Raw genomic sequence first — 24,230 nt, forward strand, 5'->3', positions numbered from 1 at the left:
CCTGTAGGCTTAAATAGCACTGACGTAAAAACTAAGCATTGATCAGGACTTTGTTGGTTGCAAGTGACAGAAACCAAAATGAAACTAGTTGAAGCAGGAAAGGGATGTATGAGCCGCTCAGGCTGGTAAGGAGGCTGAACCGCGGGCTTTCTAGACTCCTCCGATGGCCCCTCCTTGCCTATTGACCCCACGTGGACTACTGCAGGCACAGAAAGGGAAAGGGTCCCTTGGCTGTCCAGGCTTAACAGTCTATAGTGAACATTTGTTGTTTCTACTCAGAACCACTTCCCCGTTCTTTCAGTAACAGAGGCATGATTTCTGTTACTGAAAGAAGAGGCTGAGGCAGGAGGATCACAAGGTCAGGAGATCCAGACCATCCTAGCTAACACGGTGAAACCCTGCCTCTACTAAAAATACAAAAAATTAGCCAGGCGTGGTGGCGGGCGCCTGTAGTCCCAGCTACTCGGGAGGCTGAGGCAGAAGAATGGCGTGAACCCGGGAGGCGGAGCTTGCAGTGAGGCGAGATTGTGCCACTGAACTCCAGCCTGGGCGACAGAGCAAGACTCCGTCTCAAAAAAAAAAAAAAAAAAAAAAAAAAAGAAGAGGGAAGAGACTGCATCTCAAAAAAAAAAAAATACAGAAAGCTATCTTATATCATTACCATATATTCTTTTTTTTCCTTAGGTAGTTAGCACTGGCTTATGGTACTTGCAATCAAGGAACATTAATTCACACCCAACTCCAGGTAACAGAGCTTCCACAGTCTACAAGGAAATCTCAGAGAAGGAATTTGATTTCCCTGCTCATACCACTTTCTAACTCCTTAGATCAATTACTGCGGCCAAGGCAATGGGATATTATCCTGGACCACACCTGAGTCATGTGCCAGATGTGAAGGGCTAGGGAGTGTTATCAGATAAAAGAAGATGGGGAAGCTTTCTGGATAGAAGACAAAATACACCTCTCACTGTGCCTTCTAACCTGTTTTAGTTAAACCTTATAAACTTGGAGAAGACAACCATCCACTGTTTTATCTTGTCAGGAAAGTACAACATTTCTCTTCTTTTTTCTCCCTATCATTTTTACACTACTTATTTAGGTCCTTCCTTTGCGAGAGGTCTGGAAATCTATTTATTTTGTAATTAACAAAGGGCAAAAAGATCTACCCTGAAATTTTTGGTTGGGGTCCAGTGTTTTCTAACTACACCAGCTGTGGGAATTCAATGATGTCAAGGTCCCCTCCCTCCTTTGTTTATAAGACTAATTTTGGAATTATACCATTATCAGGAAATGGTGTTCCCTTCCTTCTGTCCATTCCTTAGGAATGGTACTTTTTGTTTGTTTGTTTAAAAAAAAAAAGTCTTCTTCCCTCTGTATCCAGAGAGGTTGGATGAAGGGCAAGCACCAGCTAAATGTCAGACAAAGCACAAGGGAATTGGAGCTTGATCAATTTCAAAGGTTTCGTTCTTAGCTACAGAGACTGCTCTGATTACCTGAAGGGCATGTACTGCTTGGGAATGCTGCTAAATAGCTCAGACTGGAGCTGGGGAGGAAGATACTTCCTTCCAGGATATTTGCAGAACAGTCTTGGGCACTCCTTTGTCAAACATCAGCAGATGGACATCAATTTGTCAACATAAGCTGAATTGGAGACTTTGGGGTTGCAAACAATTGGCAGCCAGCTGTCAGTAGTGGAGCAGCTGTCCCTGGTATAAACCACTTGTTGACAAAGCAGAAAAAGTGAATGGTATTCTCTCCTGTAGCTCCCCAGAAACCTCACTATTATTTTATTTAGTAACTCAGTGTTTCCTTATAGGAGGTTAAGGATAGAGATTAGCTACATTGGTCATATGAATACATTTGGAGGAAAGAGTAGATACTTCTAGGGAGCTTGAGCTTATCAAATCAAATTTAGAAAGGATGCACAAAACCAAATCCTGCTGGACAAGCAGGAGACTTCTGTATGAAGGCACAGCATTTATTTCTGGCCAGTGGGATAATGTTATATGTATCTAATATGTATATTAGATATATACCTCTGTGCATTATGGTAATCTATGTGTATATGGTAATTTACTATGGTATTCTAAAGATACACTGGCTTGGACCAGATTACCCTACTATGCCTCTAAATTCCTCAATTAAATAAAGCCATAATTTGATATTTGCCAAAGAACATATGATTAAAAAGAAGAAATGTAAGAGGAACAGCATTCATTGCTCCTTAGTTGCCTCGTATGCAGTTGGATCCCAGAAAAAGTGTATTATTAACTCAGGCAAGCATAAGAAACAGGTCTGGCAAGACTGAAAATGTTACTGCTCTTCTGCACGTGCTTTTCTTAATCCCAGAAACTGTGGCTATAAATGTCCCCGACTCCCCAGTTTTCCACTAAGACCTGGAAGTCCTGCCATGCCAAGCTATCATCTGAATCTGGGCACACCAATAGAGCATCTGCTCCATAAAGATGGTCAAGACATGTTCCGGGGCTACTTTTTTCCCTGGCTTTCCTGGTAAATAAGGAAGGAGCCCCATTCCTATTCTAGAGAACTTTGAATAGAACTTGGCAAACAAAGGAAGGAGGAGCCCTCAGTCACAGACTGAACTTGTATTATTATACAGTTGACCCTTGAACAACATAGGTTTGCATTGTGCTGGTCCACTTATACCCAGATTTCCTTCTGCCTCTGCCACCCCTGAGATGACAAGACCACCCCTCCTCTTCCTCGTCCTCCTCAGATGCTGAGGATGAAGATCTTGGATCCATTTATCTACTTAATGGATACTAAATATGTTTTCTCTTCCTTATGATTTTCTGAATAACATTTTCTTTTCTCTAGATGACTGTGTTATAAGAATACAGTATATGATACATATAACACATAAAATTTGTGTTAACCAGCTGTTTATATTATCAGTAAAGCTTCTAGTCAACAGCAGGCTATTAGTAGTTCAGTTCAGTTTTGGGGGTGTCAAAAGTTGTATGTGAATTTTTAACTGTGCAGGAGGTCAGAAACCTTAACCCCTGTGTTGTTCAAGGGTCAATGGTAAATTGATTGATTGTAACTCAAAAAGGTAGATTGCTGAGGCCAAGGAAATGAAAGGATGCAAAGAGAAATGGCAAGAGAAATAGATGTATGCTTCAGGAATGAAAGAAAACAAGAATTGTTACCAGTCTTCAAAGGCAGAACAAGTACTTACAAGACAGATCAAGGGGATAAAACTTAGCTCTATAGAATCTCTATGTTATAATCTATATTATCTTAACTCTTAAAAAGGCTGGGTGTGGTGGCTCACACCTGTAATCCCAGCACTTTGGGAGGCCGAGGCAGGCTGATCACTTGAGGTAGGGAGTTTGAGACCAGCCTGGCCAACAGGGGGAAACCCTGTCTCTACCAAAAAATACAAAATTTAACTGGGTGTGGTGGTGCATGCATGTAATCCCAGCTACTCTGGAGGCTGAGGCATGAGGATCACTTGAACCCAGGAGGTGGAGGTTGCAGTGAGCCGAGATCGTGCCACTGCACTCCAGCCTGGGTAACAGAGAGAGACTCTGTCTCAAAAAAAAAAAAAAAAAAAAATCCCCAAATGTATAAGGCAATAGGATGGCAAAATTCTTTATCACACTAGGCTGTCTATAATAGGATTCTGACTTCAGGGAAATGTGTCATCCTCTAAGTTGACTCACAATACATCAACCTATTTGAAAAACAATGCCTTCCAGTCCCTTTATCCCAGCTGACCAGAACAATTTTGATGGCTCTTCAGAGTAAATAGGTTTTTGTAACTTTGGATGACTGCCAAAACCTCTGGAAAATTTCTGACAATATGTAGTTAATTTTTATTTCATTTTTGTAAGGTTTTGCCACAACCAGACATTATTCATTTTCATTTTAAATTATGTGTAACATTAATTAATTCATAATTTTTATTAACTATTTTTTTTTTTTTTTGAGACAGAGTTTTGCTCTGTCACCCAGGCTGGAGTGCAGTGGCACGATCTCGGCTCACTGCAAGCTCCACCTCCTGGGTTCATGCCATTCTCCTGCCTCAGCCTCCCAAGTAGCTGGGACTACAGGCGCTCACCACCATGCCCGACTAATTTTTTGTATATTTAGTAGAGACAGGGTTTCACCATGTTGGCCAGGATGGTCTTGATCTCTTGACCTCGTGATCCACCCGCCTCGGCCTCCCAAAGTGCTGGGATTACAGGCACGAGCCAGCGCGCCCAACCTTATTTACTATTTTTTAAAGATTAACAAGCTTTCAACATGAGAACTCCTTTAAAATACATATTTTTAATTTTCAATTTTTAATACCTTATATATGTATTGTGATCGTATTGTTAGATCTAAAAGTCAGGACAGCCGGGTGCAGTGGCTCCCGCCTGTAATCCCAGCACGTTGGGAGGCCAAGGTACATAGATCACTTGAAGTCAGGGGTTCGAAACCAGCCTGGCAAACATGGTGAAACCCCACCTCTACTAAAAATACAAAAATTAGCCAGTCATGGTGGTTGGTGCCTGTAGTCCCAGCTACTCAGGAGGCTGAGGCAGGAGAATCACTTGAACCTGGGAGGCAGTGGTTGCAATGAGCCGAGATTGCGCCACTGCACTCCAGCCTTGACAACAAAGTGAGACTCTGGCTCAAACAAACAAAAAAAAAAGTCAGGACATCTCTTGACATAAATTCTCACGTATAAATTTACATTCATACTCAAAGATATTTGAAATCAGGACCATGCTCCTGAATACTAGATCTAGTATCACTATACTTCTAATTCATATAGGATTGCAGGAGAAAATGGAAATGCCACGTTTATTTAACTGTTCTCATTTATGGATGTTAACCACTAAGTGTCATGTAGTCATAGAAGCAAAAGTTAGAATTGAACATACTAATTTTTAATAGAATGTACTTAACTCCACAAATCTAAGACACTGTCAAAGAAATTGAGGGAAATACACAGCTGACTACTCTGAATGTGAGAATCAGTGCCTAGTTTTATTAACTGTGGCAGAAGAAGACAGTATTTAAACCAGACCTTATATAATCCATCTATCTTGATGCTATAAACAAAATTTCCAGATACAAGGGGCTAATCTTTTCTTTTTCATAGCCATAACTTTTCCTTGTAAGTCCCAAGAGAGAGTCAATAATTGAATTTCAGAAAAGATGACCTTCTTTTGAGGTTGTTTTTGATCTGAAGCCAAAGGGAGGTAATTTATTTAGCAGAAGCTGTGGGTTCTAAACAAAGATACATATGTGGAAATAATGGCAAACAAAATAAAGTACCTTAATTTATTCATCAATAAAGCACTACCAAGATGCTAAGAATTCACATCAGAATAAATGCTCATGGGAATGGAAACTGGTTTGAGGTTTTCTTTTTTCCTTTTTCATGAGCACATGCTGCTGAACGCTTTTACTTCTATTATATAAAAAAGCTTTCATCCTTTGAAAACATTCCTGAAGAAAACTGATAGATCTACAAGTCTTCTGTTGCCTCAATTATATCAGCTTTCCTTTTGGTTAATTTAATCTAAGGCAATAAATAAGTAAATACTCTTATCCCTTTTAAATGACTGATTTCTCATGCATATTTCTTTTTTTTTCCTTTTCTTTTCTTTTCTTTCTTTCTTTTTTTTTTTTTGAGACAGAGTCTTGCACTGTCCCCAGGCTGGAGTGCAGTGGCACCATCTCGGCTCACTGCAACCTCTGCCTGCCAGGTTCAAGGAATTCTCCTGCCTCAGCCTCCCCAGTAGCTGGGCTTACAGGAGCTCGCCACCACGCCCTGCTAATTTTTGAATTTTCAGTAGAGATGAGGTTTTACCATGTTGACCAGGCTGGTCTTGAACTCCTGACCTCAGGTGATCCACCCACCTCAGCCTCCCAAAGTGCTGGGATTACAGGTGTGAGCCACCATGCCCAACCTCTATTCTACTCTTTAAATTGATTGGCCTCCCTACCCCAGTTGGCACGCTGGGCCAGCACCTGGCCCCTGTATTGGCATGCCTATCCCTTCAGCCACTTTGAACCTGTCCATTCTGCACACCTCTTTCTGAACTCTTCCTGACCTCCTCTGGCCATGCCACTGGTCAACAGTTTTATAAATTTTTTTTTTTTTTGGATCCAATATTCAAGGTAACTTTTCTGGTTCTTACTGCATTCCTTAACTAATCAATATGTCCCCTGATGGATGTTTGCTTCCATCTGTTTTAGGTAATACCTTGCCCAATTCTGGTCTAGTGCTTAGCATTGTCTCCTATGTGGTCTGATGTTCCCACCAAATGGATCTGGATCTCACAGATGCGAAGATCTCTTGTCCATGTATGGTGGCTCACACTTGTAATCCCAGCACTGTGGTAGGCCAAGCTGGAGGATGGCTAGAGCCCAAGAGTTTGAGACCAGACTAGGCAGGATAGTGAGACCCCATTTCTACAAAAATTTTTTTAAAAAAATAGCTGGGTGTAGTGGTGCATGCTTGTAGTTTCAGCTACTCAGGAGGCTGAAATGGGAGGATCACTTGAGCCTGGGTGGTCGAGGCTACAGTGAGATGTCATTTTGTGACTTTCCCAGTTGCTCCTGTAGATAAGCATCACTATTGTAAAACCTAAGATTGGTGTTTTGAGATGCCACTACACTCCAGCCTGGTCAACAGAATGGCAGTGAGAGACCCTGTATTTAAAAAAAAAAAAAAAAAGGCTTAGGAATTTAACCTTCATTGGTCTGGCTCAAGTCCACTGTTGCTTACCTTCATCTAGCCATCTAGAGCTTCGTTATCTAATCTCTGGTCCTTCACAGATAGTCTCATAATTTCTTTTCTTTAACCAACTCAGTGCTTTACACTTAAGACAGGTTAATTATGTAGGAAGACAGTTTTGGGAACATCATTTTCAGTCAAAAATTCTTTCATGGATTCCCATTGCCTGTGAAATAAAATTAACATATTTTAGCCTGACATTCAGGGCCCTCTATGAACTGGCCTCAACACTTATTTCTAGATTTATTTCTTAAAACTTTCTTTCTTATACTCATATTCCCTGTCTCCATCATTTGCCCGACAAAACATCTGGTGGAAGCTATCTATCTCTGTTCTCCACTGCTACCTGGTTGGTTTCACTTTGTTTGCATGGTTATAGATCTCAGATGAACACATAATTTTGCTCAGCAAAGCAGCCATGTTTTTTTCCCCATAGATTGCTTTCTCACTATTCTGTACCCTCACACTTCTCTTCAAACTTCTCTCTTCATCCCCTCTATGTACACCCAGGAGAATGACCTTGCTTGTTTGTTTGTTTTGAGACAGAGTCTTGCTCTGTCGCCCAGGCTGGAGTGCAGTGGCGCAATCTCGGCTCACTGCAACCTCAGCCTCCCGGGTTCAAGCAGTTCTCCTTGTCTCAGCCTCCAGAGTAGCTGGGATTACAGGTGCCTGCCACCGCTCCTGGCTAATTTTTGTATTTTTTAGTAGAGACAGGGTTTTGCCATGTTGGCCGGGCTGGTCTTGAACTCCTGACCTCAGGTGATCCGCCTGCCTTGGCCTCCCAAAGTGCTAGGATTACAGGTGTGCACCACTGTGCCCAGCCGAAAATGACCTTACTTATGACTCATTGAGAGTACACAAGCCATCCGTGAGGGATTCTTATCTTTCATCTTTCCACTACCAAATCTAAATTCTTGCTTCTTCACTTGTTTTCTCCTGATTGCTTTTTGTTAGAGTGGAAGAAGGGTCCCTCCTCCCATTTAAGGTCTCTCGTTCCACCTAGTGCTCCACACTCATCATTCTCATCTTTCCAGTGATGTACTTATTTGCCTCATCTCATGCATGCATCATATACTTCTCTTTACTAGCTCATTACTATCTGCATAGGAACATGTTGGTATTTCACATCTCTGTAAAAACTTCCTTTGATGCCTCATTTCTCAGTCTCTTTGTCCCACTCTCACCTTGGAATAAGGTCAACATATTGAAAAGATTATCTCCACACACTATCTTCACTTCTTCACCTCCCTCTCATTTGCTGTTTAATCCACCACATTCTGGTTCTTTCTACTCCATCTAGATGATGGTATTCAACTGATAGTGCTTTTATGTATGGCATTTACTATCTTTTAGGTTACCTAACAATTTTTGTCCATTTCTTCCCATTGGACCACAAGCTCTTCGAGGGTATATATTACATCTTCAGCATATTTGTATCCTCCCACATTACCCAGTACTGCTGCCTTGCATAAAGACAGGCAGAAGTACTGTCTTTTTTTTATCAGAGTACTATTGGGTTTTTATCAGAGTACTATTAACAGGAATGGAAATGAAAGATGTTGCGCAAATTACTAAGTCTAAAAAAAGCCAAGAAGCTATAAAGAATGTTGGTTACAATAATTATCATTTGAAGATTGTTATGTGCTTATGTCATAATCAAATTGTAAATTATCTGATGCTATCATATACTTGGAGCAGTGGAGAAAGCCCTAAAATTAGAGACTAAACATCATAGAAACACATGATTTCAAAAGAAAAGGTAGACAATCCTGAGATAATTAAGGTGCTGTTGTTTGTTGTTTTGTTACCATGTAATTCTGATTACATGACAAAGATTAACTCCTGGATGGAACTAGCAGAACAGAAAAATACAGATGTAGTTATTTCTAAATTTATAGAGAAATTGGTTTAGTATCTAAGATGCTGACATTAGTTGAGCTGTAGTGTGGATTCAAAATGCCTTTAAAAAATCTAAAATGAACTCAAAATATGTTTCCATTATAATCAGAAGTGCATATGTACATTTCAGGTATGTAGGTGATGTGGAAGAAATTTTAAATTTTATCTTTGTGAGCTCTAGTAGTTCACTTGGCAACTGGCAGTGCAGTCCTCTGACATCATTTTCTCATTGTTGACTAGTTTTATGAAGATGTGGCATTGTTCTAGAGAGAAATTGAATAATTATGAATTTAAATAAAGTACTCAGAAATCTGTGTTATAGTTGGCCAAATGTGCAAATAAAGATTTTATTTTATTTTTAAATGCAAGAGCTGGTTAAATAGAAACACATAGCTCAGGGTTAGGAAGAGAAACAGTGTAGAGTAGGTTTGTATGAAAATAAAAGAACAGAGAAAATAATGCTCTCCATTGTCTCGAGTGACACAGAATTGGCAGTAATCCAAATACCGCAAGAGACAAGATTAATATTAAGTATATCTGTCAACATCCTGTTTGAAAATCTCAGCCAGGATCGGAGATATCTGAAAACATCCAAAGGGGGTTTCGCCTAAGAATGAGTCATAGTCTCCATAGCAGAAAGCCCTAAAATATCAGTATCGGGTGTTAGAAGTCAAGCAGACCTTAGCGATAATCTTGTCCACTCCCATGTTTTACAGATGAGAAAACTGGGGTCCAGACAACCCTCTCTCCACCCAGCTACACTGGCAGGCACCAGGAAGTAATGAACAGAATATGGATTTGGAACTACACAGAATTAGGACCAGATCCCAGCTCAGTCACTCAGACAAGTCCCTTACTATCTCTGAGCCTCAATTTCCTCAACTTTAATATGAGAATCAAAATAGCTACTTTGCAAGGTGGTTGTAAGATTGGGAGCAATGCACATATAAAGCATCTGACACACAGAGAATCAACAAATGCTAGGTCTTATTGCCCATAGTCCTGGGATTAGTAAAACAGAACAAGGACACCCACTGCAGTCCAAGTGTGTTCTCACTATACCTTTAGAGATCTCCAGTCCGTAGACCTCTTCCAAAAAGAGGGGAAGGGGAGGAGTTATTACACTCTTCTATAAACACGTAGGCTTTTGATAATCTGGAAATATCAAATGAGCCAGTATCATATAAAATGCCAACTGGAACTTACTAACTTGTCCAGAACATCAACATGACAAAGGATAGTTTAACATAAGGGACAGAAATCTGATAAACATTTATAAATACAGCCCAACAAAACCTTTCTGAATTGAATCTTTCACACTTAAGTATGTGTGGGGACGGGGTGTCAATGTTGCATATATATATACCAAACCAGGCTTTGTAAGTTACACAATGGCCTATTTTTAAAAATTCAGCAATAATGCATTAATTTTTCTAACATTTAAGACAGACCTCCTGTATCTAAAATAAAAGTTGAAATTAAAGAAAAAAAAATTTCATTCCAAATTAAAACTAAACTTTGGGAAAAAAAATCCAAACCTTTAAAGATGGAATGAATTATAGCAAAAAGATAAAGGAAAATTGCTTAAGCCTTTGCGGTTTGTAAAAGAGTTGAGACAAAGCTGAAATGTTTATTTGTTCTAATTACCTATCTCCATTGCAGGTGTATATGACATGGAAATACAGGCCCTACTACTTAAAGGATAGACTTAATGACTCGTGGGCATTCTGATTGCTCGGATACTTTAGTCCTATCTAATTTTTTTTTTTTTTTTTTTTTTTGAGACGGAGTCTTGCTCTGTCACCCAGGCTGGAGTGCAGTGGTGTGATCTTGGCTCACTGCAAGCTCTGCCTCCCGGGTTCATGCCATTCTTCTGCCTCAGCCTCCCGAGTAGCTGAGACTACAGGCGCCTGCCACCACGCCTGGCTAATTTTTTGTATTTTTAATAGAGACAGGTTTCACCATGTTGGCCAGGATGGTCTCGATCTCCTGACCTCGTGATCCACCCGCCTCGGCCTCCCAAAGTGCTAGGATTACACGCGTGAGCCACCGCGCCTGGCCAATCCTATCTAATTTTAACTCATTTATATAAATATAGTCATTAGCCATGACATGTTAACTTTGAATGGACAATGTAAGTTTCCACAGCTAGATTCTACTGAATACCTTCTCAGGATATTCCCTTTGAAAATGAATAAGAATCTAAATCTATAAAGGAATGCTAAGTAACTAGCTTCTCCAAGTTACTACTTGCATTGTTTCCAGGTGCCTGGAGTCACCAGTATGGTAATATAAGATCTAAATAGCTGACAAAAGTAAGAAATCTGTAAGATTTTAGAACTAGAAAGGTTGTTAATGAGGCCACAAATTCGCCCATAGGCTAAATCCAGCCAACCAAAGTGTTTTAATTGTTCCTTAAAGTATTTGCCCATGCTATATGTTAGATACTTTGCAATAGTCTCAACCATTTAACAATCAAGAGATTTCACATTGCAAACAAGATTTCCAGCTTCCTTTGAAAAGTTATATAATCTGGCAACTCTGGGCTGAATTTTTTTTTTCCCTGCAACTTTTATTTTGAGTTCAGGGGTACATGTGTAGGATGTGCAGTTTGGTTACGTAAGTAAGCGTGTGCTGCGGTATTTTGCTGCACAGATCATTCCATCACCTAGGTATTAAGCCCAGCATCCATTAGCTATTCTTCCTGATGGTCTCCCTCCCCCACCACCTTCTTCTAACAGTGGGTCTGAATTCTTGCATGGCAATCCTTGGTTAGAGCTGAACAGTGGCCACCCCTTAAATGCAATGAGTTCTCTCCAGTTGCCCCATCTCCTATTACTCCTGATGGGATTACACAGGCCGATTCTGCTTACTGACATTGCCTTCACAGCTCCTGCTCTGGTCCAAATTCATATTTTACAGAAAAGAAAAGCCAACGCCCAGAGAGATCAAAAGATTGAAGCTAGCTCCAGAATCCAGATCTCCTAGCCAATTATGCCTTTTCCCATATCAGAAAGTCTTGAATGATTATTTGTTTTAATGAGTATTCCCTAAGAAATGAATAAGCACAAAAATAAAATCTAGAGCACAATTTGCAAGATATTAAATACTTAGGTAAAAAATAGTAGGGCTGGGTGTGGTAACTCACTCCTGTAATCCCAGCACTTTGGGAGGCCGAGGTGGGTGGATCACTTGAGGCCAGGAGTTTGAGACCAGCCTGGCCAACATGACAAAACCCTGTCTCTACTAAAAATACAAAAATTAGCCAGGCACGGTGGTGCACACCTGTAGTCCCAGTTACTCAGGAGGCTGAGGTGGGGGTATGACTTGAAGCCTGGGAGGCAGATGTTGCAGTGAGCTGAGATCACGCCACTGCACTCTAGCCTGGGTGACAGCCGTACCCTGTCTCAAAAAAAAAAAAAAGTAGTGCCACCTCAGACAAAAATATTACTGATTATCAGTGGCTGCTTAGCTTGTTCTTAGAAGGAGGACTAATTATTAACAGGCAATTGGTTTCGTATAATTTTTTAAAATCTCTAAATTGGCTTTATTTGAATCTTTAATGTTAACATACATAAGAGTCCACTTGGTGGAATTTAAGTCCCTAGGCCCTTTTTGAAGAGATTCTGAATAAGTATGTCTGTGTTGAGATGCAGGAATTTGCATTTTTAAGTGACTATCACAAGAGATTGATTGCACTTACCCATCAGACTAATACGTCACTTTCAGGTGGGTGTGGTGGCTCCCTCCTGCAATTCCAACACTTTGAGAGGTCCAGGCAGGAGGATCATTTGAGGCCATGAGTTAGAGACCAGCCTGGGCAACATAGTGAGACCCCCGTCCCTACAAATAATAATAATAATAATTTTAAACAATTAAAAGTCACTTTCACATTTTCAATTCTCATCTTAAGCTCCAGACCTTAATCATGGTACTTGGTTCCCCTCCATTCAAAGAATGAAAATTTCCCACTTGTAGCTCCTGATTCTTTTCATTTTCTTCTTCTTTTTTTTTTTTTCTTGAGACGGAGTTTCGCTTTTGTTGCCTAGGCTGGAGTGCAACACTGCGAACTCGGCTCACCACAACCTCTGCCTCCCGGGTTCAAGGGATTCTCCTGCTTCAGTCTCCTGAGCAGCTGGGGCTACAGGTGTGCACCACCACACCTGGCTAATTTGTTTTTTGTTTTTTGTATTTTTAGTAGAGACGGGATTTCTCCATGTTGGTCAGGCTGGTCTCGAACTCCTGACCTCAGATGATCCACCCGCCTCGGCCTCCCTAAGTGTTGGGATTACAGGCGTGAGCCACTGTGCCCAGCTGATTCTTTTCATTTTCTGTGTTTCCTGTTTTGCGGTTTATTAAAGAAAAACCCAAAGAACATATAATGACTGGTATAGCACAAAGGACCAATCCCATAAATATAATTGCTCAATCAGAATGTTTTTATAATGGTGACTAGGTTACTAGTATAGAGTATCTCCTACAGACTCTACTGACTTTATTCTTCTTTCTAAATAATGCTTTCTTTGAATTGAAAAATATTTCCTTTATGGAGCAAATGTACCAGAAGTTTTTATAGCTTTCGCTTAAAACTGCAGGTCAACTTTTGTATTTCTTCTCTAATGTCTCTCTCTCTTTTTTTTTTTAAAGGTTTTATCATCTTCTATGCCTTTTAAATAGACTTTTAGTATAACCAGACAAGCAAAATAAATAGCTACACAGTAGTCTCCTCACATATGACTATTATTTGATTCCATCTAACGAACTAGATATTATATCCTACATTATATCAGAATCACTTTATTTTACCTAAGGCAATTTTAAAGTGAAAATTTCTATATTCAGCCCCCCGAGAATAAAAATCAACAACAAAAAATCAGTCTCTTATAGGAAAGAGGGATATGCCAAAAAGGGATATGATGTCTGTCCACAATTAATTCATACTGAAACACTGCAAAAGTAGCACCAGATAAAGGGAAAAGAAAGTTCATTGAAGTATTTAGCTGGATTCACAGTAGGATATTTTTGAAGGTGAAAGTTAAGGCTCTCGGGTTCTAAGTGCTTATGACAGAGCAATTCTTGATGTAAAAGCAGGCATATGTAACCAGGCCACTTTTAGAGGAAGAAATAGGACCTCGGAGGATTTTTAATATTATTCAATGGAAAAGAATCTTGTGTATATATGGAATAATGCAATTTTAGAAAAAGTGCATACATCGTATTTTGGGTTTTTCTTTTTCATTTTTCCTCTTAGGAATTAGCCTTTAGAGAGGATTCTCATTTTTTTTTCTTTTAAAATTTTGCATTAGAATAGGTGTTCTAGTTTATGAAAGCACTTTTGAAAAAGATCATTTGAGAATGTGAAAATATTTAAGAATGTTTCAACTTCTCATGTAGTTTACTTCAAAAGTAACCTTTATAATATTAGACTATAAGTTATGCTGCAGAAGTAATTAATTGACCTGATTCTATTCATTAATTAAGACTCTCCCTGGTATCAAATGAGAAGCTTAACATACTGGGCAGTATAACAGTAATCATTGTGAAAGTGCTCACTTTGGCTTTATGATTAACATAGGAACTTAAGAACTGCTTAGCTTAAAAACTTGCTAGAGTATATTTAACGGGGCCTGAAAGAGACCTAGTATATTTAATGGGGCCTGAAAGAGACCTTAATATGGTCCAGTTTTTTTTTTTTTGAGACGGAGTTTTACTCTTGTTGCCCAGGCTTGAGTGCAATGATGCAATCTCCATTCACTGCAACCTCCACCTCCTGGGTTCAAGTGATTCTCCTGCCTAGGCCCCTCGAGTAGCTGGGATTATAGGCACCCACCAACACGCATGGCTAATTTCTGTATTTTTAATAGAGAGGGAGTTTCACCATGTTGGCCAGGCTGGTCTTGAACTCCTGGCCTCAAATGATCCGCCCACCTCAGCATCCGAAAGTGCTGGGATTACAAGCGTGAGCCACTGTGCCCGGCCCAAATGTCTGTTAATAGAGGAGAGGAGCTGGTTTAGTTCCTTGATTCAGAGTTTCCTATATAATAGAAAGCTTGTTTGTAGGTGTAGTAATTTTTAAATAGGAAAAAGAAAAACTGAAATCATGCCCTACTTTTAGCAGTGGTCCTGTTTTGCAGGTGTGAGAAGGAGGGAGGAGGAAGGGAGAGGTGGAATACAAGAGAAGGAGCTGAGCATGAACACAACAGAGCATGCAAGAAGGTTTTTTGACTCCATGAAATGCTGAGATGTGGACAAAGCAGCCTTCCAGGGAGCCCGTTCCCATCCCTGCATGGTACCCTTCATGCTAAGCAGTGTCCTTCAGTGAAGGGTGGGGTGAGAGAGGGAGGGAGAAAGACAGAGGTTACTGTGACTGAGATGGTTCAAGGGTAAATCCATAGTAATTCTGTACTTAGGACAAAAGTATGGTGTTCTAAGTAACCCCTGTGGCTCTAAGGTACACAAGTCATATCTAATGAGGACAGATTTTCACTGTGAACAAGGGTCCCTAACCTCAGTTTTGCCTTTTCTGTGGCACCTACTCTGGCTCCAGGGCAGTGGTTACAGCGAGAGTGGGTTTCTTTGAGTCAGCTAGCTGTTTAGGAAGAAAATACATTTTATGAATGAGGAATGACTCACAGACACATTTTGAAATTTAGTTTCATATGTTATACAATGCTGCTAATTTTAAACTCCAGAGCAAAAGTTAGGAATTACATCTTTATTTCTCTGTTTTGCGTTTTTGGGGGGAGTGAACAGGGGGAGCTTCTTTTCAATAAAGCGAAAGAAATGCTCTAATACAGAGGAGAAAAGAGGACCAAACAGGGATCATTCTCTATACAGACATTTGTCTGAGGAGAGAAAGGTGTTCAAGAAAAGCAGTGGAAAGGTTAAGGGACCATCCAAAGAGAGATCCAAGCCCTGCTCTGAGGCTGTTGACCAAGCTCCTCATCAGCCTGGACAATGCACACATTGGCAGGAGAGGAAACGTTTGGAGAGTTTCTGGAACAACATGTGGGCTGGCTTAATCATAAAGCCTCAAGGTTGGCAAGCCAGAGGGCCTGCTCCTGAACTTAAAGAACATAAACACAGCCTCTCAACTGCCAGCCATAAAAGTAAACCATCGTCACACTGCACCAAAAAAAAAAAAAAAAAATTTGATTTGATGAGAAAAAAAGATCTTAAACAGCTGTCCATTCAAACCCAATCACCCAGCAGTGAATCTGTTGATTCTAAGCTCGTTTGTGGGCTTGGGGAAGCCTCATGGAGATGCAAACCTGATCTTAATCTTGCAGGACCAGACTCACAATTTTATTGTGTTTTCAAAATCACAGCAAGTTCTCAAAACAACCTGCATGTTTATCTTCGAATATTTACCCAAATACCCTGAATGTACAGCTGTCCCATAGGAATGGCAATGGGCATCACAAGGGGACACAGGTCCTGATTTCTGTGTGGGACCTCAGGTGTCCTCTGTGGTTGCCTCAAGTTTGTTTCCCCTGACGCTTAACTAATACCTTCAGATTCCCAAAGAAAACTGCCAAGCTGATTCCAAAAGTCCCTGCCTTCACCTGTGTTTAGCATCATGTGTAGATTTAACCACCACTTATCGGACACATGTTAACACTTACTTTGAATATCTAGCATTCAGAAGAAAGAGTGTAGAGCGGAAAGAATCAGAAAAACTAGGATCAAATCCCAGCTTTGCTAACCCTAGTATTTGGGCTATGCCTCAGTTTTCTCATTGCCTTAAGACCGGAATAGCGTTACAAAATTTTGTTGAAAAAAAATATGGAAATCCCTAGCACCACAGGTGCTCCTTCCTTTTCCTGGAGGTGTCTGTTCCTCTTAGAGATGCTACAGCTTTAAAGCAGGGTAGCATCCTAAACTCAGATGTACATGGAAAACGGAATTGGGTTGATTCTATTAATTACAAGCAAGTCAGTAAGGCCAGTGCAGATTCAAGGATATAGGATGAGATTCCACCTGTTAATGGGATGTGGCCAGTTCACATTCCGAAAAACATGTGAGATGAGACATAGTACTGTGGTCTTGGGAAATACGATCTGCCATCCATGGTTTGCCATATAACCCACTTTTGAAGGTCAGAAGCTGAAAACAGGCTGTTGGTGTTTTCTTTGTAATAAATTCCAATTTCTCCTTAGCCAGATGCTTAAATGAAACTAGCACAAATGATTTTTTTATTCAAAAAGACAAAAGAGAAAAGTATATTAAACATTATAGAACATGATCACAAATGCACCTCTAATTAAATTAAATTGACAATGTTCCTGAGCCATGACCTCATGGATAGAGTGGCTTGGCTTCCTAAAGGCCTAGGTAACAAGTAAGGGGGATATGGCAAACTCTCCTATTGAATTAGCTTTTCTTAAAAATTCTTTTTTATTAAAGCAGTACTGTATAAACGTTGCTATGTTCTATCAGAATCTATTTGAGTGAAAAATAAATAAATACAGTTACTGTGTGCCTCAGGTCTTACTAAACAGTCCCTCTTCTGAAGAAAAGACCAATTTGATAAAAAAATTAACATTTGGGTTCAGAATAAAACTTTTTTCCCCTGGAGAATACATATTTTGGTTAAAAAAAAGTTTAAGTCTGTATAAGTTGTTTTTTAAGCAGAAATATAAATTAGTCAAAACAGTGGGACATGACTTAAATTATAATCAATTTTATCCCATGTAATACAATTGGGTATCTACTTACAGTAAACAAAAAAGATGAACTCTTTCTTTTTATGAAGTTTATATGATGAAATTCATTCCACATTGTTTCACTGAAATATTCTTAAGAAATTAAACTGTTTTGTTAAATCATGACATTGCTAGGTAATATCTTAAAAAAATTATTCCTAAATAATAATCATCAATGATTTGCAGTTATTTTGAATCAACCTAGGGTGGAAAAAAAGTAATCATTAGGCAGTTATTACCAAACCTCTTTTTCATTTGTATTTTCATTTGTATATATAAGGGGGAGGAGCACCTTGTAAAAACTATATTCACATCCCTACAGGATTAGACTGGTTTAGAGAAGTAGAAAAATATAGTTTAAAAACAAATAGAGAAATTCAGAGAGTCATTAGATATGAAAAGCAAACATAATTAAAAATAAAATTAATTAAATCATCCCTGAGGGATGGAGAGAAGAGAAGATGGTTATTTTTGTACTCGCTTCAGGGAAAGCCTAACGGAAAAGTATGGCATCCAAGAATCTTCTCTTCCTGCTCCCAGTCAGTCAGGGCTTCTTTACCATTCATCTCTTTCCATTCCACACATGTTTGAAGGTTCATCTATATTTTAAAGGCTGCTGGTCCTCCCTGTATTTTATAGGCTGCTGCTAGTATTATTTTATCCTAGTTTTTACAGTCCAAATACTATTTTGTATTCTGCAACTTTATTTTGTATTCTGCAACTTTAATAAGATCTTTTAAATTTCAGTACTACAGGGATCCCAAATAAATCCCAAGTAAATTGTGATGAATAAATTGTGTATATAAGACAGTAATTGCTGAGGAACACAAATCTTTCTTCTAATAATAACCACAGGCCAGACATGGTGGCTCACGCCTGTAATCCCAGCACTCTGGGAGGCTAAGGCAGGTGGATCATCTGAGGTCAGGAGTTCAAGACCAGCCTGGCCAACATGGTGAAACCCTGTCTCTACTAAAAAATACAAAAATTAGCCAGGCATAGTGGTGCATGCCTGTAATCCCAGCTACGAGGGAGGCTGAGGCAGGAGAATCGCTTAAACCTGAGATGGGGAGGTTTCAGTGAGTCGACATCCTGCCCCTGCACTCCAGCTTGGCCTGGGTGATAGAGTGAGACTCCATCTCAAAATAATAATAATAATAATTAAAAAAATAAGAACCACATAATCTAGGCAGAACATAACAACAGGAAGCTATAAAAGTTTTTTTTTTTTTCCATTCTTGAATCTGGGTCCTGACATTCACAACATGTTTGTTAAAGAAAACAGAACAAAATGAACAAACAAACAAAAAACCAAAAAAACTTCCTGCTCTCATTTAGTTTAGGGAATGCTCTTTAACTAACATAAACGTTCCTTACTTGATCATCACCCCCGGTTTTCACATACCTCCTATCTGCATGCATTCATGAGACATATATCATATTTGGCAGTGAAAGTCAAGAGATGAATCTGATGTTGGACTAGCCTTCAGCCTAGCATTCAACAACTTGCATGACTATAAAGTGTGAAGTAAATGCCTAGAAGGATTGCTGCCTGCCATAGCTACAGAAAATGTTCTGGGTTCATGTGCATCATAGAGTAACCTCCTGGGCAATTAGCAGTGGTATTTTTATAAACGATGACACCAGTTACTCTGGGCAGATAGAGCTTGTGAAGTACCCTAGTGCTTCAGCAATGGCTTTGAGAGTGTAGGTCAAAATTCTTAATTGCCTGGAGTTGCTCTGGAGCATGTGAGCTTAACTTTATTGTGTCTATCAGTCAACACTCATGTGGTTGCAAGTGTCAGGAACCCAAATTACACTCGCTTAAACAAAAAAGGGAATGTATAGGCTTTTTTATTAAAAATCTCAGGCACGGCAAGTTCCAGATGCTTGGAGAGGATCAAAGGGAGTCAGGAATCCATCTGTCTCCCAACCCTGATTTCCTCTCTAATGGTTCAACTTTCCGGCATGCTCTTCCATTGCTGTAAAGAGGCAGACACCAGCAGCTCCACACTTGCAGGGTACATGGTTAGTAATCCCAGCAGGATAAGAACTCCTCTTTTAGAACAATCCTGCCTAAGTTCTGTAATTCATTCTTTTGGAGGAATTTTTTTTTTTTTTTTTTAGATGCAGTTTTTGGTCTTGTCGCCCAGGCTGGAGTGCAATGGCGCAATCTCGGCACACTGCAACCTCTGCCTCCCAGGTTCACGTGATTCTCCTGCCTCAGCCTCCTGAGTAGCTGGGATTACAGGCAACCGGCACCACACCCAGCTAATTTTTGTATTTTTAGTAGAGACGGGGTTTTGCCATGTTGGCCAGGCTGGTCTCAAACTCATGACTTCAGGTGATTCGCCCGCCTTGGCCTCCCAAAGTGCTGGGATTACAGGGGTGGGCCACCGCGCCCAGTCTTTGAGGAATTTTTTGAATGAATCATTATGGCTGGATGATGAAAAGTTTTGGATGGGTATGTCTGGTTCATGCAGGCATGAGTGGAGCCTCCAATAATGTCAACTGCTCCCAAATCATATAGCCTGAGAACAGAAAAGGGGAGATGACCAAACAAAAAATAGCTGATCATTACAAATACAAATGTTAAAAGCTTGGTCTGAAGTCCAATTTTAGGTGACCAAAATTTGAGCCAATAATTTTTAAAAAGAAATAAAATCCAAAGAAATGAAAGCTTTTATTGAAAACTGTTTTGTTGGAGGTGGCAGCCAGTTATTGACATTAAATTTAAAGGAGAGTGAATTTCATCATGACAAAAAGTGGCTGTTACAGGTAAAATAATGACCCTCCCCCAAAAGATGTCTTTACCTAAATCCTGGAACCTGTGAATACGTTCAGGGACTTTGCAGATGTGGTTAGGTTAAGGATCTTGAGATGGGGAAATTGTCCAGGTGGGCCCAGTGTAATCACCTGAGTCCTTAAAAGCAGAGAACCTTTCCTGCCTGTGATCAGAGAGAGATGTGATAGATTATGAAGGGCCAGAGAGATGCAGCATTACTGTCTTTGAGGATAGAGAAAGGGAGCCACGAACCAAGAAATATGGACAGCCTCTGGAAAATGGGAAAGGCAAGAAACAGATTCTATCCTAAAGCTTCCAAAAAGAAGACAGCCTTACTGTAACCTTGATTTTAGCCCGGTGAAACCTATGTTTGGACTTCCAACCTCCAGAGCTGTAAGGTAATGAATGTGTGTTGTTTAAGCTGCTGTTTGTGGTCATTTGTTAGAGCAGCAATAATAAAGTAATACACCAGCTATTTCTGCACCTTCATACATTCTGTAGCCTAAATTCTTAGCACATGGTTTGTACAGACCACTTAGAACTGCTCAGACTGAAAAGCCTCATTTTGGCAGAGACTTTTTTTTTTTTTTTTTTTTTTTCTGAGACTGAGTCTCCCTCTGTTGCCCAGGCTGGAATGAAGTGGCATGATCTCGGCTCACTGCAGCCTCCACCTCCTGGGTTCAAGCCATTCTCCTGCCTCAGCCCCTGAGTAGCCGGGATTACTGGCGCTTGCCACCGCACCCAACTAATTTTTGTATTTTTAGTAGAGAAGGGGTATCACTATGTTGGCCAGGCTGATCTCGAACTCCTGACCTCAGGTGATCTGCCTGCCTCAGCCTCCCAAAGTGCTGGGATTACAGGTGTGAGCCACCGCACTTGGCCTGGCAGAGACATTTAATGCTCACTGAATACATCTGCATCACCTGCCTTTCCCAGTCTCTGTGTAGTTAGGTAGGGTTGTGTGGTTTGCTCTGACCAGTGTACTGTGAGTTTAGGTGACAGATGTCACCTTCCAGGCTCAGACAATGAAAAGCCTCTGTGCAACCGTTTGGCTTGTTCTTTCCCCACCTGGGCAAATTGGAAGACTCATGTTGAGGTAGTTGCTGCTACTAGATGCAAATATCCTGAATCCCTGGGCTTTTGCTGAAAAGGAGCTGCCTGGAGGACCACTGGGAGTACAGAAGATTTTGCATGAGTAAAAAATAAATTTTTATGTCTTAAGCCACTGAAGTTTACAGATTGATTTGTTTCTGTAGACTAACTTAGTCTATCCTGATGAGTTAGAATAAGGGCTACCTCAGGAGACAAAAGTTTCAACCTATCAAGTTTAATGTGAAAACTAATTTCTAATTCAGTCTCTCTTATTAATCTATGAAGTTGCGTCTTTAGGCTTCGGATTCCCTCTATGCATAATAAGGAGATATGCAATTTTATATAGCACTTGGAAAAATATTGAATATTATTTAAGTGACTATTCCCTTTATTTGTGGTGTTTACATCATATAATGATGAATTTTAATTTAGAAAACAAAAAGAAGTTTTGCATTTTATTAAAAAGTAATACTTTTTCTGTCATTGACTGGTAATGCTGATGCAGATACCATGCTTTCATGTCAAGTTCACAATTTATGTGATGAAAATTGCCCTTTTTCAAAATATTTCACGTTTAAGACCTTTGACAAGATACTAATACACTTTAGCAAAATAGCATACTTACAGCTATCAAAAGGTGTGACTGACATGAAAAGTAAACTCACAGCCTATGTTTCTTTTCTAAGAGAATTGGAATGCAAAAAAAAAGTAAGCCAAAAGCATAGTCTATTTTAAGTAATGGCTTAGTATTTTCCATTTAATCATCCAAGGTGAGAATCATAGCTCAAAAAAAAGCAGGGATTACCCAATTTCACTCCTTTATTTGATGGATGAGAAAACTGAGAATTGCAGAAATTAACTAATTTATGCCAGGTAGCCAATAGGGAGAGAGATATCATTCCTGAGGGGAAATCTAAGTGCAGGTAGAAAGCAGCAATTTTGTCAAAGGCAAGCTGGATTTGCCTGATCAAAAATCACTTCTTTTTTTTATAACTGTTTTTTTATTGTGGTAAAATATATACAACATACAATTCACATTTTGGCCATTTTCAAGTGTACAATTCAGTGCCATTAAGTACATTCACGTTGCTGTGCAACCATCACCGCCACCATCCACCTCCACAACTTTTCCTTCTCTCAAACTGAAACCCTCTGCCCACTGAAAAATAACTGCTCTCCCCCGCCTGCAGGTAACCACCATTCTGCTTTCTGTCTCCATGAATTTCACTATTCTAGGTACCTCCTACAGGTGGAATCACACAATATTTGTCCTTTTGTATCTGGTTTATTTCACTTAGGAAATGTTAAGGTACATCCATGTTGTAGCATGTATCAGAATTGCATTATTTTAAAGACTGAATAGTTTTCCATTGTATGTATATAACACATTTTGTTCAACCAATCATCTGACAATGGACATTAGGGTTGTTTCTACCTTTTGGCTGTTGTGAATAATATTGTTATGAGCACAGGTGTACAAACATCTATTTGAGGCTAGGTGCAGTGGCTCACACCTGTAATCCTAGCACTCTGAGAGGCTGAGGGGGGTGGATCACTTGAGCCCATGAGTTCAAGACCAGCCTGGGCAACATAGGGAAACCTCAACTCTACAAAATATACAAAAATTAGCCAGGCATGGTGGCACATGTCTGTGGTCCCAGCTACTTGGGAGGCTGAGGCAGGAGGATCACCTGAGCTCGGGAGTTAGAGGCTGTAGTGAGCCATGACCACACCACTGCACTGCAGCCTGGGCAACAGAGTAAGATCCTGTCTCCAAAAAAAACCCCAACAAAAACAAATATCTATTTGAGTTCCTCCTTTCAGTTCTTTTGGGTACATAGCTAGAAGTGAAATTTCTAGGTCACATGGTTGTTCTGTTTAATTTTTGAGGAGCTGGCACATCATTTTTCACAGCTGCTGAACCATTTTACATTCTTATCAGCAGTGCACCAGGATTCAAATTTTCTCTACATGTTTGCTAACAATTGATATTTTGAGGGTTCTTTGGTTTTTGTTTTTTTGTTTGGTTGGGTTTTTTTTCACGATAGCCATCCTAACAGGTGTGAAGTGTTAGCTCATTTTGGTTTTGAAAAAAACCACATCTTTATACTACTGAAAAGCTCTACCACTACCTTGTTTGAATTTGGAAAAAGTTACAAGGAGTCATATCTGTGAACAAAGTCCAAGAAACCCACAAGTTAGCCATAATTTTAGTGTCTACAGAGACTAAACAAATAAATAAGAGCAGAACAAAAAATAAAATAATTCATTTATATAGGGGTATTTTTTTCAAATTTTATGTTTTAAAACAAACTGAAATGTTTTATTTTACCTAATTTAAAACTTCAGATTTGGGTTATAAAGTTATCTCAAGTAATTTACATTGAAAACAATTTTGCATATTACAATTCTTCAGTTATTGTGATCCAATATTAGTATCAATTATAGTAATTTTAGATATAAAAAACTATTCTAATTATTTATTTCCTTTCTCAACAGAGAGACTAATATAAATAGATGTTAAAGTCTGACATCTATTCAAAGTTTTGCTTTTAAAATAAATGTTAAAGTCTGACATCTATTTCAAAGGTTTTGCTTTATCTTAATCAGCTATTTCAAGTAATTAATGATTTTTGCCTCGATTTTACTTCAAAAGGGTTTAAATTTTCATTATATCTGTCTGTTACCAGTGGCTGAAACTGGTAGAAGTAATGTAGCTCACATAACAAGATTTATTATTTATCAAAAATTAAGTCATCAAAAATCTTTGGTATGCTGGTGACTCTTCTCTCAAAACAAAACCTACAAAAATCTTTAGCCGGTTTGTAAAATTAGTTGAATCCATATGAACTGAAAATCCAGATATTTAATCTGATAACCCAGAGCATTCTGCCTATCTAGACCAAATAGAAATGGTGCATAAACTCTTTAAGTCATAATCAGGTTGTAATAAACAGGCAGTGTATTTGTGAAGGAAGGAAGATTATTG

The 24,230-nt window shown here is 39.4% G+C and overlaps 1 protein-coding gene across 8 annotated transcripts in view; it reads left to right on the plus strand.

Annotated features, from left to right (window-relative positions):
* CCDC192 (coiled-coil domain containing 192) overlaps positions 1-24,230 on the plus strand; it is a 239,292-nt gene that overhangs the window by 181,555 nt on the left and 33,507 nt on the right. Inside the window, exons 7-8 of one of the 8 annotated variants that reach the window (XR_948757.4) lie at positions 685-745; positions 828-1,140. The exons of 6 other annotated variants lie outside the window; for them this stretch is intronic. Coding sequence is in view for 1 of the 2 variants with exons in the window: in XM_017009810.3 (XP_016865299.2) it covers positions 685-692 (8 nt within the window). In the remaining variant the exon portion in view is untranslated. Of the gene's footprint in view, positions 1-684; positions 1,142-24,230 lie in introns of those variants that run through there. One more of the 8 variants, XM_017009810.3, reaches the window with a different exon arrangement.

Source organism: Homo sapiens, chromosome 5 (genome assembly GCF_000001405.40).
Source record: "Homo sapiens chromosome 5, GRCh38.p14 Primary Assembly".
NCBI classification, from domain to species: Eukaryota; Metazoa; Chordata; class Mammalia; order Primates; family Hominidae; genus Homo; species Homo sapiens.